Below are 18,295 nucleotides of genomic sequence, written 5' to 3' on the forward strand. Positions count from 1 at the left end.
CCTTAGGATTGCTTTGGCTATGTGGGCTCCTTTTTGGTTCCATATGAATTTTAGGATAGTTACTTTTTCTAATTCTGTGAAGAATGTCTTTGTTAGTTTGATAGGAATAGCATGGAATCTCATTTACTTTTAACAGGAGAATGTTTTTTAAAAAAACATGTATATTTATACCCATAAACCTTTTACAGTTATTCAAGGTCTAAATTTCAAAAAGATAAATTAAATAAAAAGGTGCTCTAAGAACAAATAACTTTTTAAAGGTCCTATATAAGAAAAGCATTATGAAATTATATAAGATTGTATCATTGCTAGTTCTATACGTTATTACTAAATATAAAAAATCACACTTTTCTAGAGTCTTTCTGTAGCTTGAGCACAGATGTCATCTGAACTCTTGTAAAAGGGAAAATGATGATCCGGTTCTTACACAATTTGTATGTAACATATAATTTTATATACCTGTCACAAATAACATTTCTGTCACATATTTATAGGAAAACAGAACTTATGAGTCTCAAAGGTAGCAAGATGGGAGAATTATAATTCAATATGACAGGCTCCATTCAACAAATGGAAAATTCTTAGGGTAAATTAGGAAGTTTTTATTTTTCGTAAGTGTCAAGTTATCCAAGTATGTTTTGGATAGGAGTCTTTGAAGCACATCTTTGCAAAATAGTGTGGGGTGACTTATACAGTCAAATCTCAAGTAACAGTATTGTACACTGCTTAAAAACCTGGAGCAGCATTCCACAACATACAGTTCAGTATGATATTCTGTGTTAAAAATATTTCTCTGCTTAAATAACTGGGAGTCATTATAAAATGTTTCTCCACCTTGACATTATTCTGTACAAAGTAAAGGCTTTAACAAGTAAACTTGTTTGACTTTTACTTTATTTTATTTTATTTATTTTATTATACTTTAAGTTCTGGGGTACATGTGCAGAACATGCCGGTTTGTTACATAGGTCTACATGTACCATGGTGGTTTGCTGTGCCTATCAACCCGTCATCTACATTAGGTATTTCTCCTAATGCTATCCCTCCCCTAGTCCCCCACCCCACAATGGGCTCCAGTGTTTGATGTTGCCCTCCCTGTGTCCATGTGTTCTCATTGTTCAGCTCCCACGTATGAGTGACAACATGCGGTGTTTGGTTTTCTGTTCTTGTGTTAGTTTGTTGAGAATGATGGTTTCCAGCTTCATCTATGTCCCTGCAAAGGACATGAACTCATCCTGTTTTGTGGCTGCATGGTATTCCATGGTGTGTATATGTGCCCCATTTTCTTTATCCAGTCTATCATTGATGGGCATTTAGGTTGGTTCCAAGTCTTTGCTGTTGTGAATAGTGCCGCAGTAAACATACATGTGCATGTGTCTTTATAGTCGAATGATTTATAATCCTTTTGTTATATACCCATTAATGGGATTGCTGGGTCAAATGATATTTCTGGTTCCAGATCCATGAGGAATTGCCACACTGTCTTTCATAATGGTTTAACCAATTTACACTCCCACCAACAATGTAAAAGCGTTCCTATTTCTCCATATTCTCTCCAGCATCTGTTTTTTCCTGACTTTTTGATGATCACCATTCTAACTGGCTTGAGATGGTATCTCATTGTGGTTTCGATTTGCATTTCTCTAATGACCAGTGATGGAGACCTTTGTTTCATATGTTTCTTGGCCGCATAAATGTCTTCTTTTGAAAAGTGTCTTCTCATATCCTTTGCACACTTTTTGATGGAGCTGTTTGGTTTTTCTTGTAAATTTGTTTTAAGTTCCTTGTAGATTCTGAATATTAGCCCTTTGTCAGATGGATTGCAAAAATTTTCTCCCATTCTGTAGTTTGCCTGTTCACTCTGATGATAGTTTCTTTTGCTATGCAGAAGCTCTTTAGTTTAATTAGATCTCATTTGGAAATTTTGGCTTTTTTTGTCATCGCTCTTGTGTTTTAGTCATGAAGTCTTTGCCCATGCCTATATCCTGAATGGTATTGCCTAGGTTTTTTTCTAGGGTTTTTATGGTTTTAGGTCTTACATTTACGTGTTTAATCATCTTGAGTTAATTTTTGTGTAAGGTATAAGGAAGGGATCCAGGTTCAGCTTTTTGCACATGGCTAGCCAGTTTTCCCAACACCATTTATTAAATAGGGAATCTTTTTCCCATTGCTTGTTTTTGTCAGGTTTGTCAAAGATAAGATGGTTGTAGATGTGTGGTGTTATTTCTGAGGCCTCTGTTCTGTTCCATTGGTCTATATATCTGTTTTGGTACCAGTACCATGCTGTTTTGGTTACTGTAGCCTTGTAGTATAGTTTGAAGTCAGGTAGTGTGATGCCTCCAGCTTTGTTGTTTTTGCTTATGATTGTCTTGGTTATGTGGGCTCTTTTTTGGTTCCATATGAAATTTAAAGTATTTTTTTCCGATTCTGCGAAGAAAGTCAATGGCAGCTTAATGGGGATGGTATTGAATCTATATTACTTTGGGGAGTATGGCCATATTCACAATATTGATTCTTGCTACCATGAGCATGGAATGTTTTTACATTGGTTTGTGTCCTCTCTTATTTCCTTGAGCAGTGGTTTGTAATTCTCCTTGAAGAGGTCCTTCACGTCCTCTGTAAGTTGTATTCCTAGGTATTTTATTCTCTTGGTAGCAATTGTGAATGAGAGTTCGTTTATGATTTGGCTTTCTGTTTGTCTGTTATCGGTGTATAGGAATGCTTGTGATCTTTGCACATCGATTGTTTGACTTTAATTACACTGACTTTCCTGTGGGTTTTGTTGTTGCTGTTCAGTGTTTTGTTTTTTGGCCATATGATTTGTTTTCCCAAAAATTGTTGCTGATATTTTGTGGAACTAAGTGTTCAATGAAATGTATATTTGCAAACACTGATACAATGTAACATGAATCTACACTAAGAGATTTATATCCCAGTCTGAGTAGAGATGAATACTGCCTTCTTCTGCATGATGGTTCTCATAAAAAATTTGTTGAAGATAATACATGTTTGCAGAACATTCTCAGTTTTGACAACAAAAAAATACTGTCATAATTTAAAAAACTAAAGAATTGGTTTGCTTTCTAAGTGACTATTTCAGTTTTGTATTCACTTGGTTAGATATTTTGATTCTTTATAATTTATTTAACATTATTTTCCCAAATAACATTTTTCTAAGATAAATAATGCCATTAGAATAGTAACAATTTTCTATTTAATATGAGAGGCAGATATATCGTATTTGACTGCAGTTTGTGCATTTTATATTTTTATTTACATTTACTTAAAAAGTCAGTATAATGTACATTTAAAAATTTTACAATGTATTACATGTATATATTTTTTGAATATTTCCAATATAAATATGTTTCTAGGAGGATATAATACAGTATGTAGAAACTCTATTCTAATGTAAACATGTTATTACAATAATTTAACTAAAGTAATATTTAAAATTAAAATGTGCAGTATTTTTGAAAAGTATGCTTATGCATATTAAAATTATATAGTGACATGAACTAACTGACATAAATTATACTGTCCCAGTAAGTGCAGTTATGTTGTCAAATTTTTTTTTTCTGTTACGTGAAATATATGGCAGTTATTAAATTTTTTATTTCGATAAAATTCTTTCATTTTTAAAAAGCACAAAATGCATGTTAATCTATGGAAATCTTAAAAATTTAACATTGTTTCAAAAAATGCAAGGTTTTGAAACAGGAGGTTTAACAAAGAGGAAAAACAATAAAAATTATAAGATGACAGCGCACTCAAGCTAGGCAATGATATTTTTCTGAAAATTAGGCTTATCCTCATGAAAAATCATGGACTTCATTGTTCTGTGGAAAGAATTAACATTTACCCCAAGAAACTAAGGGTGTGTGTCAGATTATGTAAACTTAAGGTAAATATAATTATACAGAGTTCCCTATACATCTCAAGTAATTATAAAGTAATTATGTGAATGGCCTTGAGTTCATTTGAGTCATGTAATTTTCAGATAAAAATAGAGTATTTTTATTAGTGTAGAATGAAATTTAGATGCAACTAATTAAATTTTCTATAGAAATGCAGTTACTAAAGGAATTCTACTTAAAATTTCTCCTGTTGCCTATTTTACGCTAAGAAAATTTAACCTTTTATCTTAGAAAGCAATCTAATTTTGTTACCATTGTTAGTTTTTGGAAGTAGGGAATTTGGGTGTTTCAGCTTAAGACAATTTTCTTAAAACAGTCTATTTTGACTTCCTGAATAAAGCATCCCAATTGTATCTTAACTTAGTTGATAAATGTATTTGAAGAGAGGTTAAAACGATTAAAGGTAAACTTTCAGGTACTGTATTATTATTAGCTGAAACACACCTCCAGAACATAAGATTCAGAAAGATGCCAACTTACTCAATGAACAATTGATATTTTCAGCCAAGTAATTTACCTTCTGTTTGTTGATTTTTGAGACAAGTTTTCTTTTCTAAGATCATGAAAAAAGACTAGTCTACAAATCATGGACTGAGAAGCCAGGCTGGCAAGAATTGTTTCACTTGAAGGATAGCATCTGCCTATTATTTGTGTATTACATATATATTTCAATTGTTAAAGCCATCATGGAGGGGACCATATTTGCAAATAATGGCTTTGAGTTAAACATAAATTCTGCATTTTTATGAGAATAATTGCCTTCAACTTTTGACTACTTTTTGCTTATCCATTTCCTTTAATTTTCAAAATATATATAATTATATAAACTATATATATCAAAGACTGATCACTGTTCTAAGGCAAGTAAACATTTGGAATTTCCTTGGATTATCATTTGCACATCATTACAGAACCTAGTGTCATTGCAGGACACAAAGAAAACCATTTTCTGATAATTAAAATAAATTTTGCCTTTACACACATATGTTAAATATATTTCTCCATTATAGCAGAGGAACTTAACACAGTGTTGCAGATAAAATACCATTTTTTACATTTTCTTGCAGCATTTGAATTTCAGAATATATGAATAAATTATGTAAAAAAGAACTGTACATGTTTAAAAAATAGCTATCAAGTTCAAACATTGCTCTAACCTTTCTTGCATGTACTCTTTTAAAGTTAACAGTTTTTGCATTTATCACATTATCAAATTAACCCAACTGGATCAATATTACTTCAACTAATAGGAGACAAAAAAATAGAGCACAATTGTATGTAAACATTTCCTGAATGTGGATTAAAATGTTGATTATAAATAACACAAAACAAAAACAATGAGAAAGATAAAGTTCAAGCAGATTAAGTTCAATTACTTTTCTTCTCACTGGTCTTCAATATAGTAAGTATTTTTTTAACCTTTGTGATTATGATCTGAATTTGGGCAGGCCACTCTCTTGGCCCGGAATTAACAAAGTAACTTTACCTTAGTTAAAGTAAATTATTAAACAACACTTAAATACTATTTCTTAGAAGAATGTGTATTTTTTTTAGAAGTCCAGATGAAATTTGTATTAATTTGCTTATACCTGTTTAGGGGATGGCAAAAATAAGGTATGTCATTTTTTTTTTTTTAACCAATGTGGGCAGTTAATGGATAAGTCTCATACTGCAGAGGCTTGGGATGTATTTTAGTGTCACCACTGATAATAGGTATAGCACCAAACTGAACTGATTCAGCTTTGGAAACCACAGAGTTAATATAATGCAAAAGGCAGTTTCTTTTAAGTTGCTCATATTAGATACTGGATCTCTGTTTCCATTGTTTTTCTGTGCTTTAATTGTTCTAATTACTTCTTACTATTCATTTTCCATGGTGCCTATGATGAGATAACCATGAACACAATCACAAGTTGGATTCAGGAAAATGACCTGGCCTGTATACTATAAAATATAAAATCTGAAATTTCCTAGTTGAAAAGTTATCTGATCCAGACTTCTCTGTATAACGTATTGATAGTTTCAAAGTTGAATATTTGGGCTTCTAAATGCTACAGTGTTTTTAGGCTAATCAATATGGTTGGCTATGAAGATTTATCAAACTATACCCTGAGGTACCCTAAATAGTATAAAACATTAGGATACCCCATTTTAAAAGAATAATTTACCCTACTTCTGTCTCATTTATATGATTCCACCTCCTTTTAGGGTTTTTTAACCATAATTTAGGTTCATAATTTAATGTGTTCATTGATAAATATTTTTAAATGCCTTCACAGTAATTCAAAATGCTAATAATTTATCACTTAATCATTATAACATTTCAGGGATAGAAAGAATCATGCCAAACCATAATGAAGACTACAAATAAGATATTCCACAATGATGTGGGAACATCTGACTCAACAGATTTGTCCGAGGGAGGGAGGGGAGGGCTGGGGAGGGAGGGAGAGAGAGAGAGAGAGAGCGAGCGAGCAAGAGTGCACAAAACTGTGTTAGCTTGGCATATATTTAGTGGTAATACTCAGGTTAATTTTATAGCTAACTCATTCTACCACACCTCACATGAGGAGAAAAAGAAACTCCAAAATAAATCTTTAGACATGAAATGAGCCATACTGAGAGTTTCTAGCATTTTATAAAAACAGAGTCCAGATGCAATATGGCCCCCGGTAGAATGTGATTACACAATGAGCACGCATTCATATTACTCAGGACATCAAGGTTCACATTTCCCATCACTAGAGTCCCCTTTTGAGATTTTTGGAGCGAGTGGGCATTCCAAAGTAAAAAAAAAAAAAAAAAAAAAAAAAAAAAATAGATGCTTAGTACTGGGTCATCCTCACACTCAAACTAGCCTAGTTTTCCTCATGCCACCGGTAGGTAAAATCAACAGGAATGATGGTCTGTGTTAAAATAGAATTTGTCCAATACCATGAGAAAGTATCTTACATGTGAGTCATTGAAAATGTAATACCAGTTCATGATTTAGAAAGCAACTGTAGATTTAAAAATTACAGTAAAAGTTTATTCTTGCTTTTTATTTCTCTAGTTATAGCATTCTTTTATCCATTTGAAATCCAGCATAATATCTTAGCCACTCATCTCTTGACTCTATTTTCCTAATTGACACCCTGGTATTCAAATGTTTGAGGAGGCGCATATCCTACTACAGAAGGCCTTTATAATTAGAAATGATAAAGTTCTTATTTTTAACACACTTCTCATAATAAATGAAACTCAGCCTGTGACCATGCCATTGCTTATTTTCTTTATAGAATTTTCCACATCATGACATTATCTCGTTTATTTATTTTTATGTTATTTGTAGTCTCCATTTCTCCCACTGCCCAAAAGCTCCAGGAGAGTTTGGCCTTGCCTATCCTTGTTTGATTGACCAGGTTGTTCAGCAGCACCTAGAATAATGCCTGATATATGGAGGTGCTTCTTACTATTTATTAAATACATGAGCAAATGAATGAACTAAAATATAGAAAAAGTAATACATTAATTTCTCTGAAACACAGTTTTCTTGTCTATAAAACTTGGATTAGTTGAACTTAATTCAAAAATTTTTGAGATTATAATTTTAAAAGTAACCAATTAATTCATTGTACAATAAACAATATATGCTTAATTCGTGTTAGTTTATTTACTTTTATCTTTGAAGAGCATACTACCAAGTAAAGTTGTTATCCAGAACTCAGATAACTTCCATAACCCAGATTATTCCATTGGGTACTTTGAATTACATAATGGACCATAATTTGTCAAATGCGTGACAACTTGCCACCTCAGTTGCCACCTTCCTTATTCCTTTCATTTCAGTACATAGCTCCATATGTTATACTTCTATATTAGAATAAAAAATATGATAGCACAGGATTAAATACATTAAAACTGTAAAGGATACTAAAGTAACATTGATGCATCTAAAAAATATTTGGCATTCACTCCCCTTATTTTACCATCAGGAAACAGGCCCAGTGTTGAGCTGAAAGGCCTTGAGATCATCTGACTGAAAAAATAGAACAGATGTGCGAGTGAGTCAATCATTCCAGAACTTTGACACTACAAATGATCATGCCACTTTTCTGGAGAGCTTAAACTTATTCCTAAACCATTCTCAATATCCAGGGTTCCATTGTGATAGCCCTTTTCAACTGATCAGAGTTAGCATGCCAAGTGAAATCCATGTACAATCACATCTTGTCTAAACTTCTCACTTAGATTAGGTGTATATAGATTATTGAATGACATCTAAAATGAAACACAGGAATTAAAGTCTGATTTTTTTTACTTCAAATTTACTGATCCTCCTTTTGAAAAAATAAAATTCATTTTACTTATGGATTTATATTTCTTCAAGATAAATAACAAGTCATTACAAAATAAATACAGACTTCAAAAGATGAAATGTAAAAGGAAATGTATATTTATTCTTTTAATTTTTTAATTAGAAGTTTCAATTCTTATGAATTTTTGTCTATTAGACTTTTGCTTTGAGGTAATTTATTAAATTTATTTTTCAAGACTTTCAGCTTACTTTTAAATATTGACTTCATATTCTGTGCTGTGCATTCAAAACTTAGTGGAATGTCATTAAATCAGCTATAAATTCAAGATGATCTATAAAATCTAATTTAGTAATTCAGTTGACCCAATGGAACAAAGTATTACGTATTTCTAGAATTTTGGCTATGTCTTTCTTCGGCTTTATATTTCCTTAATTAATTTTGAAAGCTAATAGGTGACTTTTCTTATGATGTCTCAAAGGCTTTAGTTGTGGTGCCCAGTGAATTCAGAATCTTGTAGCAAGTTGTAAATAGTAGGAAAGTACTGGGTTTATCGTGTTCTTAAAATTTAGAGTTTTACCAAGACTTTTTATCTACAATACTTTTAAAATTGTTACTCTTTTACATTGCATGATCAACTCATCTATAGACACTATTATATAATACACATAAAACTGTATAACAAGAGAAACTAGATGCCTTTTTGGAAAAATATCTGGCTAGTTCACAGATGCTTTGGATCCATTCTATTTATGTTCGACATTTTACACATCTTGGTATTTTATGCATATTTTAAGGATTCGTAATTGTGAATCAATTGAGGTTTTCATGCTTTGCAGTGCTCTGAACAATCCCATAATATCTTCTGTAACTGTTAAGTAAATAGATAAAAAGCACTAAAATTATTAATAAATCTAATAATTTTAATAAAATTAATTTTAATGTTAAAATTTTAATAAAATTAACACATCAGGTTTTCTTCATCCTTGAATAAATAATAATCTCTTAGATTTAACGTAAGGAAATATTTTATATGTTATGAATAAATGGTGTATATGTTCTCAAAAGTTGAGAATGACGTATCTATACTATTTCCCCTTAAATCTTTGGCCTACAGGAAACTTAAACATACATGTAATATTCAACACACTTAATAGTCATATTGTTTATCCTTTTTGTTATTTCTGTCTCCTCTATGGTTTTTCTTTAATATTTTTGTCTTACTCCATATTGTAAGAAAACTTACATCCTTCTGGAAACAGCTGTATAGAGAAAATAAGTAACATAGAAAATATGGCTAGATCTACTAAAAATATCTGCAAAAACTAATTTGATGTAACATTTAGTTGTAGCTTATAAAATATACTAAGCATTATTGTTGGACTAAGCCAGTTTACTCATTTTAGCTTCATGATTTATATGCACCACTTAAAAAAATTAGTGATTTGGCCATGTTTTTGAGAAACTGTTGAGTATATATCTATAATCTGCCCTTAAATCTTTTTTTCTGACATAGTCTTTCTCTTTTTTGTATCAATGGTGTTTCTTTGAGTGATGAAAAAACTAGGTGTTCAATTTATATTTTAAATAAATCAAGTGATCTTTTTTTCAGTTAGAATAATTTTTATTAACTAAAAAAAGTATTAGTGAGTACTATAAAATGAAGATTTCTCCATTACCATAAAACGTGCTTTCAGGGCAAGTAATAATTCTTACCAAGAGGGAAAGAGAAATGTAAAAAAAAGCCTTCGCTTCAAATTTTGTTATGTGACCTCCCCATAGAGGGTAAGCTTCTACCTGGTAATTAGAAGAAGTAACAGGAACGTTTAAAATTCACACAGGTGCTATTTCTGGATCAGTTATTTTAGTGATACAGGAATCATGGTGATATTATTTTAGTGATACACCAATTGATGAAAACATCAATATAATATTGCACTGAATTACCTGGCTAAATACCCATTCCCAACCTCTATTCTCAATAGTCCCATGTGTAATAATAAGAGCTTATGTATCAGTCCCTGTCCCTGGTTCTTAACACAGAGCACCTAAAACCCCTGTAAGTAGGGATCCTAGGAGAACTTTTCGTTTTCATATTTGGTCTTTAAGCCAGTTCCTGACACAGAATTCCTAAGACCTTGGTAGTTTCCTGAGTGATAGTAGTGTCTTTTATTCAAATGCGGTGCCTCTTTGTGGGATCCTGGAAGGAAGCTGGTCACCAGGAAGACCAAGCCATGACTAGAAGCTTGGGACTGACAGCCTCACTCTCCAATTTCTAGCAGGATGTGGGGGTGGGAGGATTGGAGTATATAATTAATCATTCCTGTGTGATGAAGCCTCCATAACAATTCCAAAACTATGCGGTTCAGAGCTTCTGGGTTGATGAACACATCCATGTGCTGTGAGAGTGACAAGCCCCAACTCCCTGCCCTCTGGACCCTTTTAACCCTCAGCTTACATGCCTTTCATCTGGCTGTTCATTTGTATCTTTCAAAATACTCTTTGTAATAAATCAGCAGTAGGAAATAAACTGTTTTCCTCAGTTCTGTGAGCCAGTCTAGTAAATTATCAAATCCAAGGGGTCATGGGATTTGTAGCCCGTTCAGACAGGAATTGTGGGTAACCTGGGGTCCTATCACTTGTGCCTGGGGTCTGAAAAAGGGAGAAATGTGTGGCAATGAGCCCTTAACCTATGGCATCAGTGCTAATTTCAGTTGGCATTGAAATGGAATTAAACGGTAGGACATGCAGCTGGCATGGGAGTATTGGTTATTGTGGGGAAAAACTACACATCTGATCACAGTGTTGAGTGTGGGTATAGAAAAAAACTGCTTTTTCCTTATTTGCCCCACTATTAAGAGAAAGAGATTACCAAATTCAGGCATTACTATGGTTGGTAAATGGCCTAAGAATCTGCTGGAAATAAGTATTCAAGTATTTGTTTGCACACATATCTGAACCGTCCAAAACTTTCTTGGAAATTAAAGTCATAGAATAGATATGCTTCCCTGAGCTGAAAGCACTCATTTGTGTTCTGTTTAGATTTAATATCAGGAAGTCTGCATGAGGAATGTAAACGGTTGTTTTTGTTTTTGTAACTAATATCTGGAACAGTGTGTAGAGACGCTTCGACAGCAAAGAAAAAAGCTAATAGTGACTCTTTGGGGGGAAAAGGTTTCTCGTGAATACTGTTTTTGTCTTAGTTTTGGAAACAATGTGGCACAATGTCACTTACAAGGTATGTACAATATTGGACTGGATATATTGCTAAAAGTTAACAAAGTCCATGCCATTGCCTCAAGTCCTCCTGGATTAAGAGATAAGGTAACAAGGAAATGAAGAAATACATCAAATAAGTAATGATTAGCATGTGTTTATATTATTGTATATATATTGTATTATATTTACCATTGCATATATGTGTATTTTTGTGTGTAGTTTGATTATGTATATGTAGGGGTATAAGTTTGTGCACATAGTAGTTTTTTTTGTCCTATCCCAAAAATCAAATCAGAGGGACTCTAGAATGAATAAACTATTAGCTAATTGTTTGATAAACTGTGGTGATTTTATCGTTAAAATTCTTCAGTTTTATTAGTCATATATTTAAAAGGGACAGTGTGCCCAGGTTTTCATTAGAGAAGCATTTTATCCAGTATAGATATATGGATTAAGCTTAATATTTTTAAAACATACATCTTAATTTAACTGATTTTTAAAATACAGAATTGAAAAGGTCTCTACTGACTAATACTCATACCCCTCTTCTTTGAACTATTTTTAAAAACTCAAGAAAATAAATGAAATGATATCATGTAAGTTTTTATCCTCTTTGTTTTGACTATCACATTTAATCATGGTTACATAGTAGCACCAAAATTAGGACAAATTACAAGAATCACAGGAGAGATCTTAAATTATATGAGCTCATTGCATGCTTCAAAAGGTCTCATTTCAGAGAAAAAAAGGTTTCCAATTGCCAAAACTTTGCTGCATTTTCTCTCCCCCAAAATATACCCCAATTAAGTTCCATCTAAACAAAAGATACAATAGACTGATTTTTGAATAGATATGTTATCTACAGTTTATAGGGCAGACAGTCCATTTAAATAGAAAAAGTGATTTTACATAAAGCAAGATAGAGTACAAAAGCACAGCTTTTGTAATTTTGGTAATATTGCAATTTTACAAACATGTTGCATAGTATGTGTAAGAAAATAGTTCCATTTTTCATATATCTATATATACAAGAAAACATTTACATGAAAGTACAAAACAAAATAAATGAATAGTGGACCTGATTTAAAGAATTGTATAAATAACGAGACACTCAAACTCCAGATTACATATCTCCATTGTTAATGAATGTCCTTGCCCATCTTTAACCCTGTTTGGTTTTTATTTATAAATACGCAAACAAATGAGATACTAAGACTGAAAAAAACAAAAAATAACTACAGTTCATTATATCTCATTTCCTTTAATGGTTTTCATTGGCTTTCTCAAAATGCAGAGCCACCTCAGTTAACAATTAAAAAATAGCCCTCTGGTTCTACAAGTATTTCAAATTTTATTCTCCAAATAGTGTTCAGCAAGCAGTGAAAGTTGAAACTCAGCTGAGGAGATCCATGCTGGGCCCATTTTGGGATACGGTCTTTGCATATAGGTTTTATGAATACCAAGGAGTTTGTTATGCATGTATAAAAGAAAAGTGGACCACACTAATGATGTTTCCCTTCTGAAACAAAAGCATTCCTTAATTTATACAACTCAGGATCCTCCAAGAAGGATGTTTACTACCTCATGTTATAATTATAAGCCCCCCTATTCATTTGAATAAATTAGTAGGAGCAGCAGTGTTTTAGAGTTAAATACAATAGAAATCCCATTCTTTGGTCTTTGACATTTAAACAACTAATAAATTTCAGTATAAAACAACATGAATAACAGTGTTCAATTAAATTATTGATTAGTTTATGATTATTTAAAATGAATACAAATGCAAATTTCCTTTGTGATAATGATATTTTGTAGTGTTCATTACTGTAATATACACCAGTACATAGAGCAAATAATTTCTCCATATGTCATTAAATATGATCACATGAACAACTCTTATTAGACCACAGCTATTTGAAGAATTAGGTGACAAGACCTCACTCATATAAAACTCAAATATGAATTTGGCTTTGAGGATTTTATAGAAAATTTGGCTATTAAATACTTTCAATGATTTTAATAATTTAACATTATTATGTTGACATTCTCTGCTATGAAATATAACACTCATATGCATTAGACGCTCTCCAGGCTATTGCTGCCTCATACAGAGATACCATGTTTGCAATGAAATAATTTATTAGGAGTTTTATTGTATCAAATGCTATTTTTGTAAAACGAGGCATTCTCTGATTGAGTCATTCGATAGAATATGTAGGAATTTTGAATGGAATAAAACAGTTCAGCAATTAACCTCTGTGATCACATTATCATTTCTTCAAAAGATCACTGCTTTTTAGCTTTATGGAGGTAATAATCACAGAATGTTCATATTTGGTTAATATTTCTATTAATTTCCTAAACAGTCATTTTGAATAAGATCCAAATGCATTATTTTCCTTTTTAACGTCAACCATATTACTGAATCCTGTTAACCAGGCATGATTTTTCCAAAGGAACCTTAATGTTCAAATGTTAAGAGTGTAAAAGGGAGTATAAAAAAGAGCATAGGAAGTAGCGTGCCAAAAAGGTTTGTATTTCAACTTTTATAAGCAGCTTTTTAAGGTGCAGAAGGAGATCACAAATGCTAGTTCAGATATGGCTACTTAACCTAAGATTTATGAGTGCTTCCTTAACTGAATCAGAAAAACTTAAAAATGAATGTGACTAAAGGAAATGTCTAGTTTGATATACCCCTCTCACAGATAAGTGAACTGTGACCAACGTAATTAAATATATGTCTTAAGTAGGTAAGTTCACATGACTAGCCAGGGGCAGAACTAGAACTGGAATTGCTGGCTCCATTTTCCGAGATTTGAAGTACTGTAATCTAAGATTCCTAAGTTACAGTAAAATTTGAGGTGTATAATTGTCTTAAACTCTTAGATAAATAATTATGTGCCAAATTATAAAACATATCATTCACAATAAAATATATATATTTTAGACATAAATGTGTGTATGTGTGTGTATGACTAATAAGTAAGTACCGGATAGAAATTTTGGAAATGTTGAACAAGGGAAGTAGGAAATTTGGAAGTTTTTGTTGTTCTTGCTGTTTTTTTTTGAAGTATTTAATTGAAATCTTCTGAAAAAGAAAAGAATAATGTGTCCTCTTTGCATCTTTCCTTTTGTGATCCCCCAAACCTGAATTCAGATACATCTCGGTTTATCCATTCCTGGCAAATAACTTAAATGCTAGCAAAACTACCAACCTCTTTTTCTTCTTCCGTTTGTTCCTTCCTGGCGTACACTGAGTATGAAGTTATTAAGATACGGGTAATAAGATAGCTTAGTCGCATCCATGTAGTACACTATAAAGGACTCATTTTTCTCAGTGTCATTTGGGGAAGATGAAATTTATATAAGTAAACTGCATTTTATTTATACATATTGTAACATAAAGATGGTACTGGGAAAACATAATCTGTTAGGGTACTGTGCAATTAAGGGACCACTATATTTTTAAAAAAAAAAAAATGCTTTTTTGTGTTTGAATGTGGAAAACGAGGACATTTGGGGCCATTCTTCTAAGCCTTCACAATAGGCTTGATCTCTCTGAGGCAGGGATCTTGGCTTAGATTCAGAAATCTGAAACAGCTAGTCAGATAACTTAAAGCAATTATTTGGTGTTGAATAGGAAAGCCATCGCTATCACTATATTTTCTACTGTACTGAACCGATTTGTTATATCATCTGGATACAGTCTAAAGCTCTCAAGCTTGTAAGTTACTTTTGAATTATGTCTATACTTCTCAGAATGCATTTGAATTAAAAATGTGTCAGTCCCTCACTGGAATCGGTTTTTACATCTTTTTTTCTCACTTTTTTTTTCATCTTTTCTCCTCTTATGACATATAATTTAAAATTTCATTTTTCTCTTTTGCCTTTTGTAATTTTGAAATTAGAACTTGAATTAGAACTTGAAATTAGAACATGTTGGAACAGAAAGGAACCCCAAGAGACTATTTTATTCAATACTTTTGCTGTGAAGTTGAGTAAACTGAAGCCTGGAGAGATTCTCGAACTGCCTAAAACAGCTCAATTGATTAGTAGAAGACAGCTGAGATTAGAAACAGGGCCAGTTCCTAATCAAAAGAATTATTCCCATTTGACTTAGAAAGTTTCTAATTGTTTTAATGGAAGGATGATTAGAACTTGAATATGTCTTAAATTAAATTACTACATAATGTTTTCCTTAAAAGTCCATAATATAGTGATTAGCACACATAATTTCTCAATATTTCTTGTATTATACTTTATTTTGCAAAGACCAATGTGAGATTTCTTATATTAAATTCTCTTATTTTAATATAAATTAAACTCTTGTGTTATAACTTTGTAAGCAATCGTATATCATAAATTCTTATTTCAATATTGATTTAAAAAGTTATATAATAACACCCAAATATAATCACATTTTATTTTAACAGTAATAAATTAGCCTTTGAACCCTTCTGCTGAGTACAGTGGAAATGAGCTTTTTCAGTTATTTGATATGCTAGGTTATGCAAACAAGATAATTCTGGTCAAATATTTCACTTTTCTTCTTGCATTGCCAATATTTCTACTTTCACTAACCACATCTTTTGCAACAAGTTCTAATCTCCCAGTTCACTCTGAGCTGTAGACACCTGAACTCCAAAGACTCTACAGCCATTAATCCCCAAAAGGAAGTTTCAACACAAATGTTGATAGTGTGCATGAGGGAGAAAAACGTTTGATTGACATGTGAAAATTCAGGACTTACCTTATAGTAATTAAGTCATCTTCCCATAATAGGAAATACTTAATACAGTTTTACATTCTTTGACTCTGTAAGTTTCAAGAGTTTGAGTTAAGGGGTGCTGTGATAAATGAATATTCAGTATTCTGGAGTTGTTTACTAAGAGGTCATATACAAAAATAAGCATTGGAAAATGAAAAGAACTATAATTTTTGAGGTCAGGGTAGCCTAACAACGATCTAATAAAAGTAAATATATGTTAACAGCTGAATAGAAATGGGACTAAATTCCCTAAAATATGAATGTAGTGAAGTAAACACATTTTCAATATTTATTAGCATTTGTCATTTTTACTGTTTAGTCAAGAAATTTTAGTTAGCTTCTGACTTCTTTAAATCTTAACCTCCAATAAAAAATAGATGGAGAATAATTCTGAAGATGATACCCCAATGGAAAGAGAATTTATTCTCAGCATTATGCATCATATTAGTATTATTTATTTAGAAGATGTTTGAATTTTAGCAGTCAGAATCAAGTGCAGAGTGAGTGGAGCAAACAAAAATTATACTATTAAAACCTAGGTGTAAAGGATAGCATGTGAATTTTTTAAAAATCATCTATGGATTTAATACCATCAACATATCCTTCTTAATCCTGTCTTATATTGCAATAGAGTAGATGTTTTGTTAAAAGCAAATACGTCACATGCAGTAGCCATGTAAATACTATATAAGGCCATCCAGATCTGACCAATGACATTATAATGGCATTTTGTTAATTCTGTAAAGGATATATTGCTGAGTGCTTTCAAAATTACCTGATGTACAAAATTCTAGACTTAGTAGACAAAGAGTAACAGCACATTGAAATTAAAGAAACAGAAGGAAAACTCAGGGAGAGATTCTGTATTGTTTTGTTTTGTTCTGTTTTGTTAAAAACCATGTATTGAATTTAAATTTTAGTAAAGCAAGCATTACATAATGCTTTAAAATTTTAAAAGTCGGGGATAAAAGTTTACATCCAAAAAGATGAATGGAAAATTGTGCTTTCAGAATGTAGAATAAGTTTTCTTACAGGGTTAACCATTTCATCTTGCCATTGGATACTGGGAATTTCATTTATGTAATGTATATATGTGCAGTTCATATCCAGGTCCTGCAAAAATCTAAAACTGTGTGCTTCACTTCGCGTAGCAAAGGCACCTATGTTATTCTCCCTTTCGAGCAAAAGTCATGATCCAGTTTTCCTGCTGACGACGCTTTTTCCACTGCTGTGTCAATCACACCCTCTGTGTTGAGCAGTACAGTAAATCACAAGAGAAGGTGGTGGCGAATCCCTGCTCACACTGGAAGTTGCTCTGTGGACCATTCGAAGAAGCTCTGGACTGATCACAAGGGAAACCGAGCAGAACTGTGAAGCAGACGGACAGGAACAAAAGGCTATTCTGGTGTGAGGAGAAATCAGTCACTTCAGCTCCACAGGCAGATGTTGCTACTGGACTGACAAGTGGAACCTACTCCTGCTGGAGAAAGGTAAAGTTTGCCATTGGGGCAGACGCAGAGTTCATACACTGTCTGTCGAGAACTTGAGGAGCTGGGTGAAGAAGATGAGAAGGAGCCAGTTGGTAGATTTCCCAGCTTGATTGTCTCTGCATTTAAAAATATCTATGGGAAAAAAGAAATTGCATTTTAATTCATTTTAGAAATGTAGCATCGAGTAATCTACATCCCTCCTCAACATGGTCTAATAAGGAAGTCGACACAACAAACAATTCCATGGTTTAGCTGCCATGCTTTGTTGAACAAACAAATTACATTCCTACAGTAGAGTCCAAAATATCTGCAGCTATCTTCTCCTTTGGGAGATGGTGCATTCTGACAGAAAGCCCTCAATCTGAAAAGCAACATCATACAATACGCTTAAGGGGCCAACCCAGTTACTTAAACACCACAGAAAATTAATGATTTTGACAGTCTCTCAATTTAATTTCTTAAAAAATCCCATAGATTTCCCCGTCACATCCCCCTGACAGGCCCGGATGTGTGATGTTCCCTGCCCTGTGTCCATGTGTTCTCATTGTTCCCCTCCCACTTACAAGTGAGAACATGCAGTGTTTGGTTTTCTTTTCTTGTTTTAGT

At 32.5% G+C, this 18,295-nt stretch overlaps 1 protein-coding gene across 4 annotated transcripts in view; it reads right to left on the reverse strand.

The window, feature by feature from the left end:
- Window positions 1–12,028: 12,028 nt before the first annotated feature.
- The window catches only part of SGCZ (sarcoglycan zeta), a 1,153,587-nt gene continuing 1,147,320 nt past the window's right edge, over window positions 12,029–18,295 (reverse strand). For all 4 annotated transcript variants that reach the window (NM_001322881.2, NM_001322879.2, NM_001322880.2 and 1 more), the window contains one exon: window positions 12,029–17,821. In NM_001322881.2, the coding sequence (NP_001309810.1) occupies window positions 17,627–17,821 (195 nt within the window). In that variant the 3' untranslated portion in view covers window positions 12,029–17,626. The remainder of the gene's footprint in view (window positions 17,822–18,295) is intronic.

Source organism: Homo sapiens, chromosome 8, assembly GCF_000001405.40.
Source record: "Homo sapiens chromosome 8, GRCh38.p14 Primary Assembly".
NCBI lineage: Eukaryota > Metazoa > Chordata > Mammalia > Primates > Hominidae > Homo > Homo sapiens.